General features: G+C 38.3%; 1 protein-coding gene across 2 annotated transcripts in view; it reads right to left on the bottom strand.

Moving 5' to 3' along the window:
• ALMS1 (ALMS1 centrosome and basal body associated protein) overlaps window positions 1-17562 on the bottom strand; it is a 224162-nt gene that overhangs the window by 73241 nt on the left and 133359 nt on the right. For both annotated transcript variants that reach the window (NM_015120.4, NM_001378454.1), the window contains 2 exon segments: window positions 1730-1855; window positions 16663-16904. In NM_015120.4, coding sequence (NP_055935.4) covers window positions 1730-1855; window positions 16663-16904 — 368 coding nt within the window.

Genomic DNA, 17562 nt, shown 5'->3' with positions numbered 1-17562 from the left:
TGTATGTCTTGCTCTTGGCCCCAAACTCTAATTGGCTCCTCTCATAGCTATAGATGTACAACATATTCATAGATAACGGCTAGGAATTAGAACAATTTCTAGGCTTTCATCCAGTGTAGGTCTACTGGTCTAAGAAAGGATTATTTTCTATTCCCAACTTCCTCACTCTCAGAATAGATGAAAACATGAAAAAACAATCTCAAGTGTGTATGGCAACTAGATCTCTTTTTGTCGTACTGATGCATACAGTACTTTATTACAGAAACTATATTTATCAGGATACAGTGTGCCAGTCCTGAGTCATTTTCTTCTCCCATCACCTACACTGTTCAGTCTTTCTCTAAGTTAATCTCTCCAACCAGATGGAAGTGTTAGTGACGTATATCGATAGCAGGACACTGGAGGCCTCAGAAAGTACTGGCACATCTGACCAGGTTTCTACTGTTTACAGACATTCTGTCTTCTGAACTATGAGTAAGTGGGACAGAAGATTTTCCTACCTACAATCAATTAAGTGAGCTTGTTTTCTTTCTGGTAGCCATTAACAGTGTTTTTAAAACCATAGCCTTGCAAGGAGTAAACATTTCTTCATTTATGGCTATAAACTTAACAATCTTAACTTGTGGTGAGTATTTTTGTGGTTCTTTTTTTTCAATGCCATCATTGTGGGAAATCAGGCGAGGTTGTATCAGAGGCTTTAGTGCAGTTACTATCAGAAGCTAGTTTGGTTCTCTTTCATATCAAAGTAACAAAAATGTCTGCCTAAGACCAGGGGCAACTTCTCCTTTCTTTGTAATTTCTATATATATAATGACATTTATAGACAATCATGGAAAAAACAATTTGTCTAAAGTGAATCAAGTCATATCCCGTCGACAACTCAAAATACTGTCCCACCAATCAAAACCCTACACCACACTAACTCTGCACCCTTAACTTAAAATCTCCATAGGAAATATTTATCTAGTGCCTCCATGGGGTATTATTCATTTCCTAACTCTGCACCTCCTCTGTAGTGGATTCACAGGGATGCTGCAGGATAGTTTAAAATTCTAGGGAAAGGACAGTGATAAACTACTAGCTCAAGGTCAAAGTGTCAACATCAGATAGTGCTATGTTCTTTTCAATGCTGTTGTGCCTTGGCAAAAGCTGGATTTTTGGCAGCTGCTGTAATAAAAGGCAGAAAATAAGAGGGTCCAATCTCATCTCATGGTTTGGGAAGTTGCACAGTGTCCAACAGCTACACATATGTCATTAGTAAGTCATCATTGTTATTTATGAACAAATTTTTTTTTCAAAAACCAAAACCAAAAATAAATAACAAATTTGTTAAATTAGTTGTCAGAGGAAAACAATTAGTATTTATGTTCTAATTCCTTAGTTGCTATTTGAAAAAAATAATTGCTTATTATATATAAAGCGGAGAAAATAAATCAGTGAAACAACTAAGGGTACTGTGAACCAAGAAAGCTTAGAAACTTTGCCCTAGATGGAGCCCACTAACCCAAATAATGATCCATACAATTTCCTTCATCAAATATTTATAAATGCTTATGTGTATATATCTGATCAAATAACTCACCTATCTGAACCAGAGATCAAGGTATGAAAAGTTCCATATTTCACTGAAAAATTAAAGAGCACTGGACTTTTGTCACTCCAGAATCAACTAGCCAATACACAAATAAAATATCAAACAATAAAACTTCGAATAATTTCTGCATAATACCTGAATGGGAGCTTTCAACGGTGGTATCTGATTTGGAATCCGGAGATGGAGGAATTTGTCTTAATTGTGGAACATAATACATCTTGGTACTACCAGAAGGCTTATATGGCAATAATAAAGGCTGGCCTAAGGAGGTAAAAATCAGAACAATTAATATGAAAAACATTTGTTAATTCATTGAACAAATATGGAATGCCTTCTATGTTTCAGGCAGTGTTCATGACTTTTGGAATTTATGAGTAAACAAAGAGAAATGTATCTCTGCCTTCAAGAAGAATGAGAATTCTAGAGGAGGAAAATATACAGTAAATAATTAACATACTAAATGAGTAAATTATCTAGCATTTTAATACATTATAAGTGATACAGGGAAAATATAGAAATGCTGAAGGTAATTAAGAATACAGGAGAAATTGGGGTTTAAATGCAGGGGAAACAGTTTAAGTAGGATGGTAGGGATATGTTTCATTGAGATGACTTTTTAGCAATCCATTCCATATATAGATGACTCTAACTAAAAAACATGTTATCTTACATCGAACCCTAACCTGGTCATAATTAAGCCCTTATACTGGTCTTATTCTGCTTCCAGAGTCATAGAAAATAAGTCTAATTCTCATCTATGTGACAGGGCTTCAAAACATAGTTTCCACTGCAAGAGTATGAATTTTCAATATTAAGAAAATATATAAACGTAAAAATTACAAGGTCCTACCACTCAAGGATAATTATTGTTAACATTTTAATGTATAACTTACCCATCTTTTCCTGTTTTTTATTTGTTTACAAAGTTGTCTGCATATAGTATGCATAATTTGAAATTCAGCTTTTCTATTATTTATAATAAAAATATTCATTTTACTTCCTATTCTTCACATTTTTATGGTTATACCAGATTAAATATAGTCAACTCTTAGCCTAATGTTGAAAATGCAGGTTGTGTTAAAATGTTCAATTATAAAGAATTCTGTGAATAAAGATTTTCCTGTTTATACTTATTCTCCCCCATCACCCATCCAAGGTAAATTCTTTTTACAAAGTGAAAAATTACACCATTCATGAAGTTTTCAAAAAAGTACTGACTGCTAAATTGCTTATTAATATGTCTGCGACAATTTACTCTTCCTCCAACAGCACGTGTATAGTCATTAAGAAATGATTAATTGCTAATAGAGGTAAATGGAATCTCATTTTAAAAATATGCCCTCATCTTACTATTATGGACATTTTTTTTCTATATACTAGTTTTTCTTTCATGATTGGTAGAAACTGTCAAATATGACCTCGTGTCCAACTTCCCTACCTCCTTACACCTATACATCTATATACACTTCCAATCTCCCTTACAGCCATGTGTGAACATATGGGTAACTTTGTTCAGCCCATGGGAAGAGTGCAAGAATGTGTGAAACTTCCAGGCATTCCAGTAAAGGTATCCCATTAAAGCCCCCCACTTCCTAGATACTGCAGATCATGATAGCTGTAGCAGTTACTCTAGACCCAGAAATGGAAGTCACACTTCCAGAGATGGAAGGATGCCACAGCCACCAGATATGCAACTCAGCTATCTGCTCTAGACTACTTACCTGTAATTTAGGGTTTCTGTGATAAAATAGCATATACCATAGCCTAAAGCAATAAGAAACACAATTCCCAGGAAAGTCTTGGTGATGTGCTGGAATCAGAGCCAGCTGACTTGGGCGTATGCAACCTAGTAAGACACCAGCCAAAATGGCCAAGGGAAGCACTTGCACCACTCCATACCCAAACCTAGACAGCACAGCTTGCTCCAGGAGAGGGTCCTTCCTTTCACTTCGGAAGACGGAAGATTAAACAGACCTTTCTCTTGCAACCTGGATACTAGCTCAGCCACAGAATGATAGAGATGCCAGGCAGAGTCCTGAGGCCTCCATTCCATGACCTAGTTCCTGGACATTTCTAGACATACCCTGGGCCAGAAAGGAACTTGCTGCCTTGCAGGGAAGGACCCAGTCCTGGCAGGATTCATCACCTGCTGACTAAAGAGTACTTGGGTCCTGAATAGTGAGCAGTGGTAGCCAGGCAGTACTCACCTGGGTGAGACTCAGAGATGTGCTGGCTTCAGGTGTGACCCAGCACATTTCCCAGCTATGGTGGCTATGAGGAGAGACTCCCTTTGCTTGAGAAAAGGAGAGGGAAGATTAAATAGGACTTTGTTTTGCAGCTTAAGTGCCAGCTCAGCCACAGAGGGGTAGAGTACAAAGTAAGCTCCAGGAGTTCCTGATTCCAGGTGTTGGCTTATGGATGGCATTTCTGGACCTGCCCTGGGCCAGAAGGGAGGCCATTGCCCTGAAGTGAGAGTTCCAGGCCTAGAAGCATTCACCCAAGGTGACGAAAGAGCCCTTGGGCCTTGAATGAATATCAGTGGTAGGCAGCCAGCAGTCACCACAAGCCTGGGGCAGTGGTGGCCATGGGGAGTGACTCCTCTGTTTGTGGAAAAGAGGAAAGAATAAGAACTTTTTGTCTTGTGGCATGGATGCCAGTTCAGCCACAGCAGAATAAAGCACTAAGGTTTCTGACTTCAGGTCATGGCTCCCAGACAGCAATTCTGGACCTGCCTAGGGCCAGGGGGAAATCGCCACCCTGAAGGAAAGCACACAAGACTCCCTGGCTTTGCCACCTGCTGATTGTAGAGCCCCAGGGCCTTGAACAAACATAGGCAGTATCCAGCAAGTGGTTCCTGTAGACCTCAGGCGAGAACCAGTGTGTGCTGGCTTCAGGTCTAACCTAGAACAGTCCCACTGGTGGTGGCCACAGGGGTGCTTGTGTCACAGCAGCTCCAAGCAGCTCAGCACAGAGACAGACTCCATTTCTTTGGGAGAAAGTAAAGGAAAAGAACAAGAGTCTCTACCTGGTAATCCAGAGAATTCTTCTGGATCTTATCAGAAACTTCTGATATGGTTTGGCTCTGAGTACCCAACCAAATGTCATCTCAAATTGTAATCCCCATATGTTGAGGCAGAGACCTGGTGGGAGGTGATTAGATTATGAGTGTGGTTCCCACCTTGTTCTCACGATAGTGAGGGAGTTCTCAGGAGATCTTGATGGTTTAGAAGTGGCAGTTTCCCCTGAGCTCTCTTTCTCCTGCTGCCACGTAAGATGTGTCTTGCTTCCCCTTCACCTTCCGCCATGATTGTAAGTTTCCTGAGGCCTCCCCAACCATGTGGAACTGTTAGTCAATTAAACCTCTTTTACTTATAAATTACCAGTCTCAGGTAGTATCTTTAAAGCAGTGTGAAAATGAATACAAAGAATTGGTGCCAGAAGTGGGGCACTGCTATAAAGATAACCTGAACATGTGGAAGCAACTTGGGAACTGGGTAACAGGCAGAGATTGGAACAGGCTGGAGGGCTTAGAGGAAGACAGGAAGATGTGGGAAAGTCTGGAACATTCTAGAGGCTTACTGAAAGGTTTTGACCAAAAATGCTGACAGTGATATGGACAATGAAGTCCAGGTTGAGGTAGTCTCAGATGGAGATGAGAAACTTGTTGGGAACTGGCATAAAGGTCACTTTTGCTATGCATTAGCAAAGAGACTGGCAGCAATTTTCCCCTGCCCTGGAGATCTGAACTTGAAAGAGATGATTTAGGGTATCTGGCAGGAGAAATTTCTAAACAGCAAAGCATTCAAGAGGTTACCTGGCTTATTCTGAAAGCATTCAGTTATGTACATTCACAAAGAGAGGGTTTGAAATTGGAACTTATGTTTAAAAGGGAAGCAGGGCATAAAAATTTGAAAAATTTGCAGCCTGACTATGCAGTAGAAAAGAAAAACCCATTCAAGGAATTCAAGCTGGCTGCAGAAATTTGCATAAGTAACGAGGAGCCAAATGTTAATAGCCAAGACAATGGGGAAAATGTCTCCAGGGCATGTCAGAGATCTTAACGGGAGTCCCTTCCATCACAGGCCTGGAGGCCTAGGAGGGAAAAATGGTTTTGTGGGCCCCGCCTAGGGCCCAGCTGCTCTGTACAGCCTTGGGACTTGGTGCCCTGTGTCCCAGCTGCTCCAGCTCCACCTGTGGCTAAAAGGACAGCTCAGGACATTGCTTCAGAGGGTGCAAGCCCCAAGCTTTGACAGTTTCACGTGGTGTTGGGCCTACAGATGCACAGAAGACAAGAGTTGAACTTTGGGAGCCTCCACCTAGATTTCAGAGGATATATGAATGCCTAGATGTCCAGGAAGAAGTCTGCTGCAGGGGCAGAGCACTCATGGAGAACTTCTACTAGGGAAATGCAGACTGGTAATGTGAGTTGGAGCCCCCACTAATAGTCCCTACTTGGGCACTGCCTAGTGGAGCTGTGAGAAGAGGGCCACCATCCTCTAGACCTCAGAATGGTAGATCCACCAACAGCTTGCACTGTGCACCTGGAAAAGCCACAGGTACTAAACACCAGCTCATGACAGTAGCTGTGGGAGCTGTGCCCTGCAAAACCTCAGGGGTGGAGCTGCCCAAGGCTGTGGGAGCCAACCCCTTGCATCAGCATGCCCTGGATGTATGACATGGAGTCAAAGGAAATTTTGGAGCTTTAAGATTTAATGACTGCCCAGCCAGGTTTTCAACTTGCATGGGGCCTGTAATCCCTTTGTTTTAGCCAGCTTCTCCCGTTTGGAATGGGAACATTTATCCAATGCCTGTACCCCCACTGTATCTTGGAACTAACTAACTTGTTTTTTATTTTACAGGCTCACAGGCAGAAGGGACCTACCTGCCTTGTCTCACATGAGACTTTGGACTTGGACTTTTGGGTTAATGCTAGAATGAGTTGATTCTGGGGGACTATTGGGAAGGCATGATTGGTTTTTAAATGTGAAAAGGACATGAAATTTGGGAGGGGCCAGGAGTGGAATAATATGGTTTGGCTCTGTGTCCCTAGCCAAATCTCATCTCAAATTGTAATCCCCACATGTTGAGGGAGGGACCTGGTGGGAGGTGATTGGATCATGGGGGCAGTTTCTCTCATGCTGTTGTTGTGATAGTGAGGGAGTTCTCATGAGATCTTGATGGTTTTAACGTGGCAGTTATCCCTGAGATCTCACTCTCTCCTGCCCCCATGTAAGACGTGCCTTGCTTTCCCTTCACCTTCTGCCATGATTGTAAGTTTCCTGAGGCCTCCCCAGCCATGCAGAACTGAGTCAATTGAACTCCCTTTCTTTATAAATTAACCAGTCTCAGGTAGCATACTTCTAGGAGTTTGAAAATGGACTAATACAACCTCCACGGTGGTACCTCTACAAGTCTGCAAGAGCCACAGTGTTACTAGGCTTGAAGTGCCCCCTAATGGAGATATGGCTACAGTGACCAAAAACTCAGATCATAACACCCAACTCCCTTTGAATTCCTTGAAAGCACTCCCAAGAAGGATGGGTATAAACAAAGTCAGACTGTGAAGACTACAATAAATACCTAATTCTTCAATGCTCAGACACCAACAAATATCCACAAGCTTCTAGACCATCTATGAAAACATGACCTCACCAAATGAACTAAATATGACACTAAAAACCAATCCTGGAGAAACAGAGATGTGGAACCTTTCAGACAAAGAATTCAAAAATATCTGTTTTGGCTGGGTGCAGTGGCTCACGCCTGTAATTCCAACACTTTGGGAGGCCGAGGTGGGCAGATCACCTGAGGTCGGGAGTTCAAGACCAGCTTGGCCAACATGGTGAAACCCCGTCTCTACTAAAAATACAAAAATTAGCTGGGTGTGGTGGCGCACCCCTGTAGTTCCAGCTACTCGGGAGGGTGAGGCAGGAGAATTGCTTGAACCCAGGCGGCAGAGGCTGCAGTGAGCTGAGACTGCACCACTGTACTCCATCCTCAGCGACAGAGCAAGAGTCCATCTCAAAAAAAAAAAAAAAAAAAAAACTGCTTTGAGGAAACTCAAAGAAATTCAAGATGACACAGAGAAAGAACTCAGAATCCTATAAGACAAATTTAACAAAAAGACTGAAATAATTAAAAAGAAGCAGAAATACTGGAGTAGAAAAATACACCTGACACACTAAAGAATGCATCAGACTCTCTTAACAGCAAAATTGATTAAACACAGTGAGTTTGAAGACAGGCTATTTGAAAATACAGTCAGAGAAGACAAAAGAAAAAAAGGAATAAAAAAGAATAAAGCATGCCTACAGGATCTAGAAAATAGCCTCAAAAGGGCAAATCTAAAATAAAAAATAAAAAGCAGTAGACTAAATCCTCCTATCCAAAGACATACAGTGGTTGAATGAATGCAAAAAAAAACAAGACCCAACCATCTATTTCCTACAAGAAACACAATTAACCTATAAAGACCATGAATAGACTAAAAATAACAGGATGGAAAAAGATATCCCACGCAAATAGAAACCAAAAGAGAGGAAGAACAGCTATACTCATATCAGACAAAATAGACTTTAAGACAAAAATTATAAAAACAGACAAAGGTCATTATATAATGATAAAGAGGTCAATTCAGCAAGAGGATATAACAACTGTAAATATATATGGACCCAACGGTGGAGTACCCAGATATATAAAGCAAGTATTCTTACAGCTAAAGAGAGAGATAGAACCTAATACAATAACAGCTGTAAACTTCAACACCCCGCTTTCAGTATTGGACAGATCATCCAGACAGAAAAATCAACGAAGATACATTGAATGGACCTAATAGATATTTACAGAACATTTCATCCAACGGCTGCAGAATACACATTGTTCTCAGCACATGGATCATTCTCAAGGACAGGTCATATTTTAGGCCACAAAACAAGTGTTCAAAAATTCAAAAATAATTGTAATTATATCAAGTCATTTCTCTGATCACAATGAAATAAAACTAGAAATCAATAATGAAAGGAACTTTGGAAACTATACAAATGCATGGAAATGAAATAATGTTTCTGAATGACCAGTGGGTCAAGGAAGAAATCAAGAAAGAAATTTACAAATTTCTTGAGACAAATGATAATGGAAACACAACATACCAAAACCTACGGGATACAGCAAAACCAGTACTAAGAGGAAAGTTTATAGGTATAAGCACCTACATTAAAAAAACATAGAAAAACTTCAAATAAACAACCTAACAACGTATGCTAATGAACTAGAAAAGAGCAAATGAAATCCATAATTAGCAGAAAAAAAGAAATAAAGATCAGAGCAAAAATACATAAAATTGATATGAGAAAAACATCGCAAAATGAAACAAAAAGTTTGTTTGTTGAAAAGATAAACAAAATCGACAAACCTTTAGCCAGACTAAGAAAAATAGAAGACTCATGTAAATAAAATCAGAGATTAAGAAGGGAGACATTACAACCTATAGCACAGAAATTTAAAGGATGATGAGACACTACTATGAGCAACTTTACACCAATAAATTGAAAAAGCTAGAAAAAAATGGACAAATTCCTAGAAACATACAACCTATCAACCAGGAAGAAATCCAAAATTGAAAGAGACCAATAACAAGCAACAAGGTAAAAGTTGTAATAAAAAGTCTCCCAGCAAAGAAAAGCTGAGGACTCAATGGCTTAACTGCCGAATTGTACCAAATAGTTAAAGAAGAACTAATACTAATCCTACTCAAACTATTCCAAGAAATGGAAGAGGAGAGAATACATCCAAACTCCTTCTACAAGACCAGTAAACCAAAGACACATCCAAAAAAAAAAAAGAGAAAAAAGAAAAGAAAACTACAGGCCAATCTCCCTCATGAATATTGATGCAAAAATCCTCAACAAAATACTAGCAAACCAAATTCAACAACACATTAAAAAGATCATTCATCATGACCAAGAAGTATTCATCCCAGGGATGCAAGGATGGTTTAACATATGCTAATCAATCAATGTGATGCCTCATCAACAAAATGGAGGACAAAAACCACATGATCATTTCAATTGACGATGAAAAAACATTTCTTAAAATTCAACATCTCTTCGTGATAAAAACCCTGAAAAAACTAGGTATAGAGAACACATACCTCAACATAATAAAAGCCATATATGACAGACCCACAGCTAGTATCATACTGAATGGGGAAGAAACTGAAAGCCTTTCCTCTAAGATGTGGAACATGACAAGAATGCCTACTTTCAAAACCGTTATTCAACATAGCACTGGAAGTCCTAGCTCGAGCAATCAGACAAGAGAAAGATAGAAAGGAGATCCAGATTGGAAAGGAAGAAGTCAAATTATCCTTGTTTGCAAATGATACAATCTTATATTTGTAAAAACCTAGAGCCTCCACAATCAATAAATTCAGTAAAGTTGCAGAATACAAAAATGAACATACAAAAATCAGTTCACATTTCTATATGTCAACAGTGAACAATGTGAAAAGGAAATTTAAAAATAATCCCATTTACAATAGCCACACATAAAATCAAATACCTAGCAATTAACCAAAGAAGTGAAAGATCTCTATAAAGGAAACTATAAAACACTGATGAAGATAATTGAAGAGGACAACAAAAAAATGGAAAAATATTCCATGTTCATGAATTAGAAGAATCAATATTGTTAAAATGTCCATACTACCTAAAGCAGTGGGGTATTCCACTGAATCTGTATTCAAGGCAATCCCTATCAAAATACTAATGACATTCTTCACAGAAATAGAAAAAATCCTAAAATTTATATGGAACCACAAAAGACCCAGAATAGACAAAGCTATCTTAAGCATAAAGAACGAAACTGGAGGAATCACAATACCTAACTTCAAATTATACTACAATACTATAATAACCAAAACATCATGGTACTGGCTTAAAAACAGGCACATAAACCAATGAAACAGAACCAGAGAACCCAGAAACAAATCCACACACCTACAGTGAACTCATTTTCAACAAAGGTGCCAAGAACATACACTGGGAAAAAGACGGTCTCTTCAACAAATGGTGCTGGGAAAGCTGGTTATCTACATGCAGAAGAATAAAGCTAAACCTCTATCTTTCATCATATACAGAAATCAAATCAAAATGGATTAAAGACTTAAATCTAAGACCTCAAGCTATGAAACTACAGGAAGAAAACACTGAGAAAACTCTCTAGGACATTAAATATTGGCAAAGATTTCTTGAGTAATATCCCACATATACAGGCAACCAAAGCAAAAATGGACAAATGTGATCACATCAAGTTAAAAAGATTTCACACAGCAAAGGAAACAACACTGAAGAGACAAACCACCGAATAGGAGGAAACATTTGCAAACTATCCATCTGACAAGGGATTAGTAGCCATAATGTATAAAGAACTGAAACAACTCTATAGGAAAAAAAAAATCTAATAATCCAATTTAAAAACGGGCAAAAGATCTGAACAAACATTTCTCAAAAGAAGACATATAAATGGCAAACAGGCTTATGAAAAGGTGCTCAACATCAGTGATCATCAGAGAAATGCAAAGCAAAACTACAATGAGATACCATCTCACCCCAGTTAAAATGGTTTTATTCAAAAGATATACAACAACAAATGTTGGCAAGAATGTGGAGAAAAGGGAACTCTTGTACACTGTTGCTGGGAATGTAAATTAGTACAACACTATAGAGAACAGTTAGTTTGTAGATTCCTCAAAAAACTACAATTAGAGCTAACATATGATCCAGCAATCCCACTGCTAGGTATATAACCAAAATAAAGTAAGTCAGTATGTCAGCGATAAATCTGCACCCCATGTTTATTGCAACACTGTTCGCCATAGCCAAAATTTAGAAGCAACCTAAGTGTCCATCAATAGATTAATGGATAAATTAATCTATTACATATACACAATGTAGTACATATACACAAAGGCAGTACATGCACAATGGAATACTATTTAGCCAAAAAAAATAATGAGATCCTGTCATTTGCAGCAACATGGATGAAACTGGAGGTTATTATATAAAGTGAAATAAGCCAGGCATAGGAACAGAAACTTCACATGTTCTCACTTATTTGTGGGATCTAAAAATTAAAACAACTGAATTCATGGACACACATGAGAGAGAAAGATGGCTACCAGAGACTGGGAAGGGTAGTGAGCAGTGTGGGGGAAGTGAGGATTGTTAATGGGTATAAAAATATAGTCAGATATAATCAGTAAGATATAGTATTTGATAGCACAACAGGGTCTACAGTCAATAATTCACTGTACATTTTAAAATAACCAAAAGACAGCTAGGCATGGTGGCTCACATCTGTAATCCAGCACTTTGGGAGGCCAATGCAGGCAGATCACTTGAGATCAGGAGTTCGAGACCAGCCTGGCCAACATGGTGAAACCCTTTCTCTACTAAAAATACAAAAATTAGCCAGGCGTGGTGGCGGGTGCCTGTAATCCCAGCTACTCAGGAGGCTGAGGCAGAATTGCTTGAACCAAGGAGGCAGAGGTTGCAGTGAGCTGAGATCATGCCACTGTACTCCAGCCTGGGTGACAGAGCAAGACTCCATCTCAAAAAAAATAAATACTTAAAAAATAAAATAACCAAAATAATGTAACTGGATTGTTAACACAAAGAATGGATAAATGCTTGAGGTGATGGATATCCCATTTACCTTGATGGGATTATTATACACTGTATGCCTATATCAAAATAGCTCATGTACCTCATAAATATCTATGTCTACTATATACCCAGACAAATTAAAAATAAAAATAAATTCATAAAGATAAATTACACAGTTCAAAAGAACAGTTCCATTAGAACTTTGTGCAGAATTACTTTAGAGTATAAATTTATGTGGGAATAAATGATACCTTTACAATATTCAGCCTTCCATTCTAGAATCATACCTTTTAATTTAGTAAATTATTATTTTCTATCTTTACAAAAAGGATTAGTGTTTCCTGCATTAGGTCATTTAAAATTTTTGTTTAGGTTATTTCTGAGCATTTCATAGGGTTGTATTGCTCATATGATTATGAATTTTCAATGTAGCTACCATTTCTCATGGCCGAATGCCTCCAGCTCCTTCCGTTTATCTTTATTCTTATAGACCACGGTTTTCTCTTATATCCTGTAACCATTTCTAGATGGACTCCTAGTTGCTCATCTCTAGTTAATAAAACCCAAAATCCTCTAGACTGATTCTGATAGTCCTGGAGTAGAATGAGCTCTCCTCTGGAAACAATAATCTTTTTTTTTTTTTGGTGGGGAAGGGGGAAGGAGTCTCACTCTGTCGCCCAGGCTGGAGTGCACTGGCACGATCTCTGCTTACTGCAACCTCCACCTTCCGGGTTCAAGCAATTCTCCTGCCTCAGCCTCCCGAGTAGCTGGGATTACAGGCATGTGCCATCATGCCCGGCTAATTTTTGTATTTTTAGTACAGATGAGGTTTCACTATGTTGGCCAGGCTGGTCTCAAACTCCTGACCTCAGGTGATCCACCCTCCTCGGCCTCCCAAAGTGCTGGGATTATAGGTGTGAGCCACCACGCCTGGCCAGAAACAATAATCTTTATATTACTTAGAACTGTGTCACCATCTTTGGCAACTCTATCATTCTGATGACATTTTGGCAATGAATTCCACATTGTTAGTAGCCTGCTTCTAAGGAAGAAACTCACTTCCAAATGAAGGAAATGAGACAAAAGGTTGATGCCTAAAGGGATTTACTGTCCTTATCCATGCCTTATGGACCATAACTATGCTAAACCTAAAAAATAAATAAATAAATAAAGTGAGCAAGCTATTTACTGAAAAGTGTTATGGCATAAGCTGGGGAACACCACTTTCTGAGTCTACAATGCTTTCTTATGGGATTTGGGATATGCTCTGAACCATAGATGGTACTTGCCTATACCGAGTACCAGATAGAATGCATGCATTTGGGAACAAACAAGCTTTTTAAGAAGTTTTTGCTTTCAACCTTTGTGACTATGAGTGTTGTTAGATGGAAGATCTTAGAAATAAGAAAGGGACAATTCTACCAGGGACAGGAGCCACCTAGCTACTTAACATTTTTTATATCACTAAAGCAAAACATAGAGCAGCTTACAGAGTGCTGACTAAATCTATGATAGACCTGAATTATCCACAAGAAATAAGGTTACTTTTTAAAAGGAGTATGATTAACACCTAGAGGCATTAATTTCTATCACTGGGCATGGCAAAGTGACCTCTAAAGAAAGTCCAGTCAAGAAATTAATAAAAAATGACCTTGGCCAGGCGCAGTGGCTCACGCCTGTAATCCCAACACTTTGGGAGGCCAAGGTGGGCGGATCACAAGGTCAAGAGATCGAGATCATCCTGGCCAACATGGTGAAACTCCATCTCTACTAAAAATACAAAAATTAGTTGGGCGTGGTGGTGCGCGCCTGTAGTCCCAGCTACTTGGGAGGCTGAGGCAGGAGAATCCTTGAACCCGGAAGATGCAGGTTGCAGTGAGCCAAGATTGCACCACTGCACTCCAACCTGGAGATAGAGTGAGACTCCATCTCAAAAAAAAAAAAAAAAAAAAAGGACCTCAACCTTAGTCTGAGACAACTTAGGAATATTTGTACCACTCTATCAGGAAAAAAGGAAAAAGAAAAAGAAAAAAGCTGTAGCCTCCAATTCTATTTGGTCGTTCCCGTAGTTATTGTTAGAATACTGATTTATTAATTTTCTTTCTCCATCGGTATATATTAAGCTTGATAGCAATGGCTGAATATGCCATGCAGTTCACAGGTTGGAGAAAATTAACAGCAACGATTGGACAAAATTACAATGGACCCAGAGCAGAAATGACTATCACATGGCGATGGACCTGAGACAAATAAAGAATTTTTTGAAGTTCTCAAGAACTTTGTTTGGATGCAGTAGTCTTAAGGTTACACTGGACTGCCTGTCTAGGGGAAGAAGTGAATACATAGCAAATAATGGCTGCTTCCGGGAAAGGAAAAAAGCACTGGAGAGGGGTAGAGGAACTTGTTAATTCAGACTAATGGGTAAGCAGTCATGTAGTTAACATACGATTTTTTGTACCTTAAAATGTTTTGTACAAAAAACAAACAAACAAAAAAAAACACCTCATAAAATTTTACTTTTGACCCACAGTGTTGAAAATAACACTTATTACTAAACCAAATAATATCGATTCTTTGATAAAAAGTTTATATGAACCATAAATCATGGCCTCTATAAATTGATCCGTTTGATGACAGTAGAAGTTTAAAATATGCTTTTTTTTTGTTTTTGGAAACGGAGTCTCGCTGTGTCGCCCAGGCTGGAGTGCAGTGGCACGATCTCGGCTCACTGCAAGCTCCGCCTCCTGGGTTCATGCCATCCTCCTGCCTCAGCCTCCCAAGTAGCTGGGACTACAGGCACCCGCCACAGTGTCCGGCTATTTTTTTTTTTTTTTTTTTTTGTATTTTTAGTAGAGACGGGGTTTCATTGTGTTAGCCAGGACGGTCTCGATCTCCTGACCTCGTGATCTGCCCACCTTGGCCTCCCAAAGTGCTGGGATTACAGGCGTGAGCCACCGCGCACTGCTTTTATAGCTGTTTCCTCTCTTGTGTTTCTGCCACCACCATGAGAACACCACACTCTAGGATAGCTATTGACCCATTAGCCTGAGTCTCAGAAAGAAGTATCTGGAACAGACCCAAACCATTTCTGCAGCTTACAGCCAGCCCAGCCAAAGTCCAATTGACCCATAAGCCTGTGAGTAAGAAAAACAAATGTCTGCTGTTATAAACCATAGAGATTTTTTAGGTTGTTTGTTATACTGTACCACTGTAACAACAGGTAACCAACACATAAAGGTGTTCTTCGTGATAATTTATTAAACTATATATATATTTTTGGTATGCTTTAATTTCACAAGAAAAATGTTCAAGAATTATAACCATCTTAGTATATAAATGCACTTACTTAAATTCAATGCAATTTAAATGCTGAACTAAACAATTTTCTTTACATTTAGGTATATTCCATCTACGTGTGTAGGTGGACAAGTTTTTTGTATAAGTAGAGAAACTTAAGATGTACTTTGAGTAGACTTGTCCAAAATAGTAAATATTTTAAAAATTAGTAAAGTCTCCATCTTCATTTGGGGAAGAATGGAAACTTAATTGTTAATTTTCCTGCTACTTACTCAAAAAAAGAAAATAATTTACAATTTGGTCTAATTCTAAATGTTACATGGTAAAAGTACTATCAAAATATCACTGAAACTATAGCATATAAAACACTCTAAATGTTCACCTTATGGTAGAGACTGCTACCTATTCACCAAAATCCATTTCTTCTTCATTTTGGAAAACACAGCTAAACTACATTCCTGGCCAGTGGAAAGTGATTTGGGTTACTTCCAGACCTGACCTGTAAACATCTCCTATATGTGCTCCTCAATGCTTTTTGTTCCTTCCTGTTGACCATGAAGGTAAATCCAACATAACCTTGGGTTATATATTTTAAAGAAAACAGAGCAAGAAGACAACCTGGGTCTCTGGTGATTGCTTTATAAGTAAGAGATAAACTGCTATTGTGTTTGCACTATCACATGTTTATGCATCTATTTGTTATAGTATTTAGTATATACATACTCTCCCTATATACGCACTATATAGTAATAACATTACTGTTACTGTAATACAAGATAATTTATCCGCCATTTTAAAAGCAGACCTCAATTACTTTCAAGTTGTTATGAACTACTTGCATTTTTATTGCAAATATGATGAGACAAAACTAAGTTTTAACACAAACAGCATGAGTTCTACATGTTAACTGTGCTTGAAATTAAGATAAAATATAATAAATCATATTCTGTTGACAGCTATGCAAATAAAAGACAGATATAATCATATGGACCCTAATTCTTAAATTAAAATTAGGTTTTCTGACTAGAAAGACACAACCACAAATTTCTAAGATAACTACACAAAAGAGCTGGTCTAACAATCTAAAATGCAATCACATTCTCTTACCATCTGTGCCGCGAGAAAAAGTAACCTGTTGGACTGAAGATGATGAGGCAAACTTGACAGGAGCTTTGCGTAGCTTCTGGTTACCAGGCTCTATAATTTCATGTCCACGATCTTCAGCATTAATAAAAATCTCAGATGAAAATAGGGTCTTTTCTGGACTTTCTGTTGTTATCTGAGTGACTGCATCAGATGACAATTTTTCAGAGAAAGCAGAAAGTGGGGTCTTCATCTTCTCTGGTAATCTGACCAAAAAAGAGAAAGAATACAGCAGATTATATCCTTGGCCATTAGAGACTGAAATCTCTTTCCAAAAGTGGTTTCAAGGAATATTTAAGTAGCTATAGGAATATATTGTGGACACATCAATGTCAAACGTTATTAAGGTAAAATTTCAGCAGTACCCTTTATTTTGTTTGATACAATGTTATCACACATGTTTACTTTTATCTTAAAACCTACTTTTAATTTAGAATGTTAAATTATATAATTTAGTTGAGGAAATGCTATTTTTCAGCTGAATTGAAAATACATTTTTTTAAATTACTAGATGTCCACCATAAATTAGGGGACTGTGCTAAATACACACAGTGTACAAAGATAAACAAGAAACAGAGCATTCTGTCAAGGAGTTCTGGGAGAACTAGGAGTTTTCAAGGTTGCAGTTATATCTTGAGATCATAGGGAATTAATATTAAAACAGAGTGGAGCAAGTAAATAATTGAACACATAAATAATTGGAAAGAAGAAGCAAATTTTGCTTTAAGAAGAAGTCCAGATAACAGATGTGAATACCTCCCACCAAAGAAGGTTAAGCTTAACCTTCCCCTCCTCCTTTGTGTATGCACTGAACTAAGTGACTGGATTTCAAAAAACAGAGTATAAGAAGGAAGAAATAGTAAC

This window comes from Homo sapiens, chromosome 2 (genome assembly GCF_000001405.40).
Source record: "Homo sapiens chromosome 2, GRCh38.p14 Primary Assembly".
Taxonomy (NCBI): domain Eukaryota; kingdom Metazoa; phylum Chordata; class Mammalia; order Primates; family Hominidae; genus Homo; species Homo sapiens.
This window is presented reverse-complemented; position numbering and strand designations above follow the sequence as displayed.